The sequence below is a fragment of the Homo sapiens genome, chromosome 4 (assembly GCF_000001405.40).
Source record: "Homo sapiens chromosome 4, GRCh38.p14 Primary Assembly".
Taxonomy (NCBI): domain Eukaryota; kingdom Metazoa; phylum Chordata; class Mammalia; order Primates; family Hominidae; genus Homo; species Homo sapiens.
In genome coordinates, this window is record NC_000004.12 from 77,103,216 (window position 1) to 77,115,381 (window position 12,166).

At 41.0% G+C, this 12,166-nt stretch overlaps 1 pseudogene; it reads right to left on the reverse strand.

Moving 5' to 3' along the window:
* Positions 1-9,079: 9,079 nt before the first annotated feature.
* On the reverse strand, positions 9,080-10,241 carry LOC339966 (ubiquitin family domain containing 1 pseudogene; annotated as a pseudogene).

The following is a 12,166-nucleotide window of genomic DNA, read 5'->3' on the forward strand; positions in this document are numbered from 1 at the left end:
AGTGTATCTGTTTTACAAAGTGCTTATGATACTTGTATCATGCATATATATATATATATATATATATATATATATATATGTCAAAATTTTTTTGACAAATTCATTTTAATCAAATTAGCTTTTATTTAGTGATTAGTGAATGGAGCCCCATCCCTTCTAAAATTAGAAAGGTGCTCTGATTAGCCGAGCACAGGAAGTAGGCTTTATAGGTAGAAGAAGGCTAAAGAAAGCAGAAACAGGCAGGGCGCGGTGGCTTATGCCTGTAATCCCAGCGCTTTGGGAGGCCGAGGCGGGCGGGTCTCCTGAGGTCAGGAGTTCAAGACTAGCCTGACCAACATGGAGAAACCCAGTCTCTATTAAAAATACAGAATTAGCCGGGTGTGGTGGTACATACCTGTAATCCCAGCTACTTGGGAGACTGAGGCAGGAGAATCGCTTGAACGCGGGAGGCGGAGGCTGCAGTGAGCTGAGATTGTGCCATTGCACTCCAGCCTGGGCAACAAGAGCGAGACTCCGTCTCAAAAAAAGAAAAGAAAGCAGAAACAAGGAACAAAAAGAGAATTGGTTGTTACAGAGCTAGTTTCCTTACAGGGTTAAAACAAAGGGGACTTCCTTATGCTGGCTCAGGTAAACTGGGCCCCTTCTAATTGGTTGCTGTGAATTGAATATCCTGTTGTTTATTTTTAGTGTTTTTAAATTTTTTTATTCAAACAGATTTTGACAGATCTATTTTTAAAAAAACTGGCCTTGTTTAAAGAAACTTTGTTAATCTTATGAGTTAAGAATGCTTTTTTCTTTGAGCAATTTAATGGTTTTATCACATAATTGATTGCTACTATGCATAAAGTTTAAAACACACATATCTCTTTTTTTTTCTTTCTTTTTTGCGACAGTCTTTCTCTGTCGCCCAGGCTGTAGTGCAGTGGCATGATCTCAGCTCACTGAAATCTCTGCCTCCCAGGTTCAAGAGATTCTCCTGCTTCAGCCTCCCAAGTAGCTGGGATTACAGGTGCCTGCCACCACCCCCGGCTAATTTTTGTATTTTTTAGTAGAAACGGGGCTTCACCATGTTGGCCAGGCTCGTCTTGAACTCCTGACCTCAGGTGGTCCACCTACCTTGGCCTCTCAAAGTGCTGGGATTATAGATGGGAGCCACCGTGCCCGGCCTAAAACACACGTATCTGAAGAGATGACCTGCATATTAATTTGCAATAGAAAAAGAAATAATGGAGTTTACTGAATTAAATCACTGAACTAATTTGACAGCTTAAACTATAGTAGTCAAGCAAAATCTCTGTGGAATTCATATTTACATATTAAAACATTCCTGAGTTAAGGGGAAAAAAATAGCTTGGCTTTATAGCTTCAGGGAAATACTGCTAAGTAAATTTAGGGGACTTCCAGTGGTAGAGTAAAAGGGGGAAAACCATAGAATTATCACACTTTTCTGACAACTGGAGCTCAAACAAACTCTTGGGACATAAGCTGCATAATTCTGTCCCAAAGAATGGTTCCTCTTGAGTGACCTTCTGAGGGTCCAGGTCTTCCTGGACCTTGAAAATAAAGGGTAGAGTTTGCACCTCAGGTTGGGAATCGGAAATCAGATTTTAAGGCGTGAGGGAGGTGTAAGTCAGCCAAGGACACAGAGTTCTTCAGAACCAAGCTTTCCTGGGACATGAATCATATTTATTTTAGGCATAAAACTTTCTAGCTCCAAATGAGGGAAAATTTCTTTCTTGCTTTATAAAGAATGTCACTCTCTGCCAGAATGTTAGGAAGCTACTGAGTAGATCCAGTCCTGAGGCTCTGTGGCCCATTTGCAGAGTTCTCCTTCTTAACCTTCTGTCAGCGGTCTGCCTGGCCCTATGCCAAGCCCAGCTTCTCAGTCCTGCGGTTGTGTGTAAAGGCAAAATCATGTCTGGGGTGTAGGCTGCATTCTCCAGTGAGTTTGTTTACCTGCTCCAGGTAAGTCAATATGTCCCAAGAGAATCCTCGGGACACAGAAAGCATATCGTGCCAAGTGAATGCAGCCCTGCTGTAGGCCTGCCTCATTAGACAAAACCATAGCCCTTTGCTTCCTGAAAACGTTCCTGCATGGATTTTAAAGCTGTAACACGACCTTATTAATTTTAGTTGCAAACTTGAGCACATACAGATGGTCTATTTAAACCATAATAAACCTATGCTACACTGTAGGGTTGTGTTCATTTATGTGGTTGCATTTTACCATAGTGTTGTAAAGTTAAATTCTAGGCTATCAAACAAAAATTTCCAAATGTGAGAAATGTGAGATCCTTTTTTGCCTTTCTTTTTTTTTCTTTTTTCTTTTCTTTTCTTTTTTTTTTGAGGCAAGATCTTGCTCTGTCACCCAGGGTGGAGTGAAGTGGTTCACAGCTCACTGCAGCCTCAACCTCCTAGGCTCAGCCTGTCCTCCCACCTCGACCTCTTGAGTAGATGGGACTACAGGTGCACACCACTGTCAAGTGTTCGAACCAGAGCGACTCCATCTGGAGTAAGGACTATGAAAATGAGGCTGGGACTTGCTGGGCTGCGTACCCAGCAAGTTAGGTATTCCTAGCCTCTCGATGTTTACAGTTAAGGGAACAGATTGATAATGTTTACTAAACAGACCCAGACTTGGGAGTGTCCTGATATCCCGATATCTTGAAAACAGAAGCATTTTTTTTTTCTTTCTGAATTTTTAATAGAGACAGGGTTTCACCATGTTGCCCAGGCTGGTCTCAAACTCCTGAGCTCAAGTGATCTCCCACGTCAGCCTCCCAAAGTGCTGGGATTACAAGCATGATCCACTGAGCCTGGCCAGTTTGTCTGTTTTTTTTTTTTTTCTTTTTTCATGCTATGAAATTATTTGTATATTGTAGGTACTCAATAAGTATTGAATTAATTATTTAATTAATACCTAAAAGTCAATCTGATTGAAGTTGCTTGTATTCAAAGGATCTTAAATAATTCAAATATGTGCAACATAATCCATTTTGTTTCAAAAAATTATTTGTGCTTATAAAAAAGGCTGGAAGTATATTTTAAAAAATATTAGAAGTGATTATCACTGAAGATTGGTGTTATTGGTGATTTGAATTTCTTTGTTGGAGAAGTTAAATTATTCCTCTTTGAAGATGAAATGATTTTATACTGAAAAAACCCTAAAGACTCCACCAAAAAAAAAAACTGTTAGATCTAATAAACAAATTCAGTAAAATTACAGTATACAAAATCATCATAGAAAAGTTGGTAGCATTTCTATATACCAATAGCAAACTGTCTGAAAAACAAGTTAAGAAAACAATCCCATACACAATAGCTACAAAAATTGAAATACTTAGGAATAAATTTAACCAAGAAGGTGAAAGATCCTTACACTAAAAACTATACAGCACTGATGAAAGAAATTGAAGAAGACACAAATAAATGGAACGATACCCTGTGTTCATAGATTGCAAAAATTAAGATTGTTAAAATGTCCATACTACCCAAAATGAACTATAGATTCAATGCAATCCCTATCAAAATGCCAATGACATTCTTCACAGAAATAGAAAATACAATCCTAAAATTGTATAGAACCACAAAAGGCACCAAATAGCCAAAGCAATCTTGAGCAAAAAGAGTAAAGCTGAAGGCATCAGACTTCATGATTTCAAAATAAGCTGCAAAATTATAGTAACCAAAACAGCATAAAAACAGACATATAGAACAATGAAACAAAATAGAGACCCCAGAAGTAAATCCATGCATTTATGGCCAACTGATTTTCGACAAAGGCACCAAGAGCACACAATGGAAAGGAGAGTCTCTTAAAAAAATTCTGTCGGGAAAACTGGATATCCACACGCAGAAAGATGAAATTAGACCCTTATCTCCTATCATATACAAAAATCAACTCAAAATGTATTAATAACTTAAACGTAAGATCGGAAACAATGAAACTACTAGAAGAAAACATTAGAGGAAACTCCATGACTTTGGTCTGTGCAAGAGTGTTTTGGATATTACCACAAAAGCAAAGGCAACAAGAGCAAAAATAGATGGTTAGAATTACATGGAACAAAAAGCTTCTGTACAGCAAATGAAACAACAGAGTGAAGAGACAACTTACAGAATGGATGAAAATATTTGCAAACTCTATCTCTGATAAGGGATTAATATCCAAAATATATATACAAGGAACTCAAACAATTCAATAGTGAAAAAAAAAGCAAGTAACCCTATTAAAAATGGGCAAAAGACATAGAAGACATACAAGTTGCCAATAGGTATATGAAAAATGCTCAGCATCAATAATCATCAGGGAAATGCAAATCAAAACCACAATGGGATATCACCTGACACTTGTTAGCATGACTATTATCAAAAAGACAAAAGATAAGTGTTGGCAAAACCATACAAAAGAATGAAATCATGTCCTTTGCAGCAGCATGGATGCAGCTGGAGGCCATTATCCTAAGTGAATTAATGCAGGAACAGAAAACCAAATACTGCATGTTCTCACTTATAAATGGGAGCTAAACACTGAGTACACACAGACACAAAGATGGGAACAGTAAACACTGGGGATTCCAAAAGTGGGGAGGAAGGGAAGGGGAGAAGGTATTATGTTCACTACTTGGGTGACAGGATCATTAGGCATCCAAACCTCAGCATCATGCAATATACCCATGTAAAAAAACTGCACGTCTGCACATGTATCATGTACCCCTGAATTTAAAAAATGTTGGCCAGAATATACAGAAAAGAACACTTATGCACTGTTGGTGAGAATGTAAACCAGGACAACCGCTATGGAATACAGTATGGAGGTTCTTCGAAAAAGTACAAGTAGAACTATGCTATGATCCAGCAACCTCGCTATTGGGAATCTACTCAAAGGAAAGGAAATCATTATATAGAAGAGACATCTGCATCCCCATGTTTATTTCAGCATTATCCACAATAGCCAAGACATAGAATCAACCTAGTTGTCCATCAATGGATGAATGGATAAAGAAAATGTGGTATATGTACACAATGGAATATTATTTAGTCATGCAGAAGAGCAAAGTCCTGTCATTTGTGACAGCATGGATGAGCCTGGAAAGCATGTTAAGTGAAATAAGTCAGGCACAGAAGAATAAATACTGCATAATCTCACTCATATGTGGAATCTAAAAAACCTAATGGTTACCAGAGGCTTGAGCGGTTAGGAGGAGGGAGGGGATGGGGAGATGTTGTATAATTACAGTTAGAAAGTTGAGACCAGGCGTGGTGGCTCACATCTGTAATCCCAGCACTTTGGAAGGCATGCTGATTGCTTGAGTCCAGGAGTTTGAGACCAGCCTGGCCAACATGGCAAAACCCCATCTCTACAAAAAATACAAAAATTAGCCAGGCATGGTGGTGCATGCCTGTAGTCCCAGTTACTCAGGAGGCTGAGGTGGGAGGATCACTTGAACCTGGGAGGTGGAGGTTGTAGTGAGTGGAGATTGCACCAATGCATTCCAGCCTGGTCAACAGAGCAAGAGCCTGTCTCAAAAAAGAAAAAAAAAGTCTAGAATATGCAAATAAACAGAATAAACAGAGACAGAATAGTCAAATATATATAGCAATAAATAGTAGATAAGTGATTGTCTGGACCAAGGGTTGGGAAGGAGAGAAATTGAAAATAACTGCTAATAGTTATGGAGTTTCTTTCTTGGGTGATGAAAATGCTCTAAAATGGATTGTGGTGATGGTCATCCAACTCAGTGACATACTAAAAACCACTGGATATACACTTTAAATGGGTGAATTATATGTGAATTGTATCTCAATAAAGATGACATTTTCTGTTTTTTTATTTCAACTTTTATTTTGATACAGGGGGTCCACGTGCAGATTTGTCACATGGAAACATTGCATGATGCTGAGGTTTGGAGTGTGACTCCAGTCACCCTGGTAGTGAGCATAGTATCCAATAGGTAGTTTTTAAAAAATTTTTTTTTTCTTCTTTTTGAGATGGAATCTTGTTCTATTACCCAGGCTGGAGGGCAGTCGCGCAATCTCGGCTCACTGCAACCTCTGCTTCCCAGGTTCAAGTGATTCTTGTGCCTCAGCCTCCCAAATAGCTGGGTTTACAGGCGTGTGCCACCATGCCTGGCTAATTTTTTTTATTTTTAGTAGAGATGGGATTTCACCATGTTGGCCAGGTTGGTCTCGAACTTCTAGGCTCAAGCAATCCACCCACCTCAGACTCCCAAAGTGCTGGGGTTACAAGGGTGAGCCACCGCCCCTGGCCTCCAATAGGTAGTTTTAAACCCACTCCTGCTTCCTCCACCCTCTGGTAGTTCACAATGCCTATTGGTTCCACATTTAAGTCCATATGTGTGCTCAATGTTTAGCTTCCACTTCTAAGTGAGAACATGCAGTATTTGGTTTTTTGTTCCTGTATTAATTTAAATAAAGCTTCTTTTAAAAAGCAAATACATTTTCTTCTTTGGTTATAATACTTCTGGAATTTTCTATAGTAACCATATATCATTCTTGTAATCAGATAGAAATAAATACCTTTAGGGCAGGCACGGTGGCTCACACCTGTAGTCCCAGCACTTTGGGAGGCCGAGGCAGGCGGATCACCAGGTCAGGAGTTTGAGACTAGCCTGATCAACATGGTGAAACCCCGTCTCTACTAAAAATACAAAAATTAGCTGGGCGTGGTGGTGGGCACCTGTAATCCCAGCTACTTGAGAGTTTCAGGCAGGAGAATTGCTTGAACCCAGGAGGTGGAGCTTGCAGTGACCCAAGATCATACCATTGCACTCCAGCCTGGGCGACAGAGCAAGACTCCATCACGGAAAAAAAAAAAAAATAGAATAAGTCCCTTTATTTTTATTTATTTATTTATTTATTTATTTTGAGATAGGCTCACTCTGTTACATGCCGGAGTGCAGCTCCACAGAAGCCTCGACCTCCCAGGCTCAAGTGATCCTCCCACCTGTCTCCCATGTAGCTGGGACTACAGGCATGTACTACTATGCCCAGCTAATTTTTAATTTTTTTGTAACTTTCTCAAATTTAAATTGAAAAACATTGTTTTTAAAATTTTTTGTAATTTTTAAAAACTTAATTTTGTAAAATTTAATTTTTTTTTTTTTTTGAGACAGAATCTCACTCTGTTGCCCAGGCTGGAGTGCAGTGGCGTGATCTCCGCTCAGTGCAAGCTCCACCTCCCAGGTTCATGTGATTCTCCTGCCTCAGCCTCCCGAGTAGCTGGGACTACAGGTGCCCACCACCATGCCCGGCTATTTTTTTTTTTTTGTATTTTTAGTAGAGATGGGGTTTCAACATGTTAGCCAGGATGGTCTCGATCTCCTGACCTCGTGATCCACCCGCCTTGGCCTCCCAAAGTGCTGGGATTACAGGCATAAGCCACTGCGCCTGGCCAAAATTTAATTTTTAAATTTTCTATAGGTCTCAGTATGTTGCCAAGGCTGGTCTCAAACTCCTGGGTTCAAGCAAGCCTCTTGCCTTGGCCTCCCCAATGTGCTGGGATTACAGGTGTGAGCCAACAGGCCCAACAAGAGTATCTTTATTTTTAAAGTACTGACTAGTACCAACCAGACCTAATAAAGCTCAGCATTCTTTTTCATCTCTTGGCTCCCCGCCCTTTTCTCACAGTGGCATTGCCAAACCTTTTCTACTCTTTCTTAAGAATTTGTGCTGGATTAATTCCCCATCCCTGTCTACTCTGCTCTGTGCCCTAGGTATGTCATCATACAGATTGCTACAACCTGGCTCCCTTGCCCTCTAGCTTCCAGATGGGTTCAGCTATTGGCTTTAGCTGAAATCCTGAGGATGAGAAGAGAGTGAGGTCACATTATTTATTCCTGTAGCTCCCTCCCTGTCAGCTTTCTACAAATTGGCTATATCCCTTTATCTAAAGGCCATAGATCCCGTCTTGAAGCTTCAAAGCTTTCCCTGGGTCCCAGTGACTGCTTCCTCCTCTTGCTTCTTCGGGCTTAGGGATGGTACCAGTTACCTACTATTACTTGTTATGGGGTAATTCATTATTTCTTATATTATTCCTCATCCTTACTCATAATTCTATACAAAATCTGTTCAAATTCAGTGTTCCACATCTTTTCTGTCGGGTTCACCACCAAGACAGCATTCAACTCCATCTTCTTCCATTCACTGTCAGCAAATGACCTTGCCTCATTCTTTATTTTTACATGAAAGGTTGAGGCCTTCCTCAAATGGCTGTACAACATCAGTTCACTAAAAGTAGTCTATGTAGGGCCAGGCACAGTGGCTCACACCTGTAATCCCAGCACTTTGGAAGGCAGAGGCAGGCAAATCACTTGAGGTCAGGAGTTCGAGACCAGCCTGGCCAACATGGTGAAATCCCATCTCTACTAAAAAATACCTACTAAAATTAGCCGAGCATGATGGTGGGCACCTGTAATCCCAACTACAGGGATTACGAGGCGAGGAGGCTGAGGCAGGAGTATCGCTTGAACCCTGAAGGCGGAGGTTGCAGTGAGTCAAGATTGCGCCACTGCACTCTAGCCTGGGTGACAGAGGGAGACTCCGTCTCAAAAAAAAGTAGTCTATATAATGGCCTGCTCTCTCTTCTTGATCTCTCAGAGCACAGGACACAGCTCGTTCATGGCAGGGCACTACCCTGATTTCCTCTGACCTCGAAGGACATCTTTCCCTCATTAGCTCTTCTCCCCTCTTGCATACCTTAACTATGGATGCTGCTGAAGTCTGAACCTTGGTTTGCCCTCATGACAAATTTTTTTTAAACAAAGGTTTATCAGTTTTTTACCACTTTATTACTTTTATTCAGATAATTTTTCAAACATATACTTGCTGTCCTAATCATTTAATTAAACTCCAGTCCTTTATCTCTTCAACCAGATGCTACATATTTTACATGGATTTCTAGTTGTCTCTTCAAACCCAGTATCACTTCATCCTTCCTCTCATTTTCCCTCCAGTTAGATTTTCTCCCATTATGTATTTTTCTTTTTTGGAATTCAGATTTATTGATTTCCATCATATTGACTTTAAAAATGGCATGAAGCTGACTGCAAGAAAGGGAACTGGTCATTTTAAGTTAAAATTAAGCGAATCGTGAAAGTACATCACCTCTGGCTTCAGTCACCACCTCGCCTTAGATTGAGTATAGATTTTTTGTGAACAAAGTTCTAGAACTCTGAAATCCAGGGATGCTGCAGGCCTCTCCCCGCGATGTCCTTCACTTTGGGTCAGCCTCCTGGGCCAGAGGTGAAAGTGCTTTCAAAAATACTGCCATTTCCCCAGCACAGTCTTTGATTGCATCCACATATTGAGTTGGAACCCAGTACACCCATTAGTCAGTAGTAAGAGGCTTTCGTGGGGCCCAACTGAAACCCATCATGTGGTAGTCTTCATGTCCTTCCATATGTTCACTGACCACATTTTTTATGGATCCCATGGGCAATTTCTCAGTCCGCTCTTTACTGCCAATCCACAGTCGGTGTTGTTCTAACTTCAAGGTGAATCTCACTTTTCCTCCGGACTTATTGTACATGCTGGGCAGGGGTACCTTTTGTAGGTGCTCCTGGGCCCCCTTAACAGATGGCATCACATCTTCGGGTTTTCCTTTATCCAACGCTTTCCTGTGTTGTTTCTGCCTGCAGAGAGGCTCCTTCTTGTTGTCTTTGGCCTTTGCATCCTGCTGCGCAGCATCTTTGGGTGTGTTTACTGCTAAAACATCATTGATGGTGGAGCCAACCACCATGATCTTGGCCCCACTGGTCACTTTTATTTCTCTCAATGTCTTATCCTCAGGGACGAGTCCCTTATACATGACTTTCTGTATGGCAGGCGGGAGACCTGTAATCAGTGGATCTTCTGTTTCAGTTCGGAGCCTGTGCTGTCCAGGGGGAACTTCACGTCGTGCTTGGTCTTGTTCCAGATGATCCTCAGGTCCACCAGCTCGCTGTCTGCGCTGCCGCCCGAGTCTTCGCCGTTGCTGACAGAAGCCTGGGACACGGGGTCTCCAGGGGCCTGGGCTGGGGCCGGCTGCAGGCTGCAGGCTGCCTCGCGCGGTGCCGGAGTCCTCGGCCACCGTCCCTGCCCCCGCTCCTGCCGTGGCTTCGGCCTCCAAGCAGTTGAGGGGCCGTGCCAGCGCCTCGGTCGCCACGGTCTTAGCTTCGGTGTCCATGCCAGGTTCCTCCATGCCATCCGGGGCCCCGGCCGCTGCCATGATGATTGTGTACCAGATTTTCTCCCATTATGTATTTTTTCCAATGGTAACTATGTTCTCTTTGGCTCAAGAGTTTAAAACATTGAAATTTTGTTTTTGTTTTTTTTGAGACAGGGTCTCCCTCTGTCACCCGGGCCTGAGTACAGTGGCGTAATCATAGCTCACTGCAGCCTCGAACTCCTGGGCTCAAGTGATCCTCCTGCCTCAGCCTCCCAAAATGCTGGGTTTACAGATGTTAGTCACCATGCCCAACCGACATTATTTTTTTAATGCTTCTATTTTCTGTGCTCCTCCACTCCAATTACTTATTGAATTCCACATTTTTTCTTAAACTTATTTCTCAGAGTTCTTTTCTTTCTCACTGTTCTAATCAATGTTTTGTTTGTTTGTTTGTTTTTATCATAGGCCAAGATTATTTTCATAGTCAATTTGTCTTCAAATTCCAGGCTTCGCCTAGTCCTACGTGAGAATTAATTTTTCTAGAATATTGCTAATATCATGCAGTTGTAGAATATGGCTCCAATTATAATTACAATGTCAACAACTAATTTTCATAGAATACTTGCCATATGTTGGGTGCTATACAATTTTTTATATGGATTAATTATTTTAATCACAAGAATCCTATAAATATACAATTATACATACATTTGGAAGAATTTTAGAACATTTAGAAAACTCCCAGAATCACCTAGCTACTGGTGGTACTAGGATGCAAACTGAGCTTGAAAAGAAAAGTCGTGCTCTTAATCTTTTTCCTATGCTATATAAATTCCTCAACCTGACTTCTGAAGTGCTCCACAAACTGCTCCCCCGCACCATATAGTCCAATCTCAGCTTATGTTTCTCTCTACATCAAACAGAGGGAGAGTTTCCTAATGCACCATAAACACACCATACTCATTCCAGTTCTTTCCCTTTCCTTTTGCACTTGTAAATTTTTTCTCCTGTCATCTGATCAAATTCTCTTCTTGAGTTAAGGAATGGCTCCAGAATAGAATAAAGCCTTCATAAAATGCTATAGTTTTTTTTTTTTTCTCAGAGCCTACAAGACCACTTACTGTCTGCCCCATTCATTTTCAGATTCACTCATGAAGTGCTTTGGATTTTTATTTAACTGTTACATCTAAAATTGGTGTGTATTCATCCCAGAAGAAAATATTGAACATTTTTATTTGTCAGGCCCTATATAAGGGCTGAGAATACAAAGATGGGTACAATTCTGTCTCTGAACTTGACGAGTTTAATTCAAGGGGAAAGCAAAGATGTAAACTAAAATAATATACTCTGATAAGTGATAATATTGGAAGGTGACATTGCAGTGATGCTTCACTCCAATAATTGTATGACTGCAAATGTATTAAGGATAAGGGAGCCAGGTTTCTCACTGACAGAGAAACAAGTTACAATTAAAGAAAGGGAGAAAACCCTGGGAGTAATGTCACCCCAATAGCAAAGAGCCCACTAGTGCCCAGTTGTTGGTTTAGAAACCAGCAGTTTTGCTTCACTTTATGATGGGGATACATCCTGAGAAATGCATCATTAAGTGATTTCATTGTTGTGTTAACATCAAAGAGTGCACTTACACAAACCTTGATAGTATAGCCTACTGCACACCTAGGCTATATTGTATAGCTTGTTGCTTCTAGGCTGCAAACCTGTGCAGCATGTTACTGTACTGAATACTGTAGGCAATCGTAACATAATGGTAAGTACCTATGTATCTAAACATATAAAATGTACAGTAAAACTATGGTATTATAACCTTATGGGACCACCATCCTATATGTGGTCTGTCATTAACAGAAACATCGTGTGGCATGTGATTGTACTTAATTGATCAGTCCTCTTCTGTGTAACCAGTTCCCCTAATTGCCACCCGCCTCTCACCCTGAAAATTCCTTCCTTACCCTGCTTGGGCTATGATTCCCTACTGTG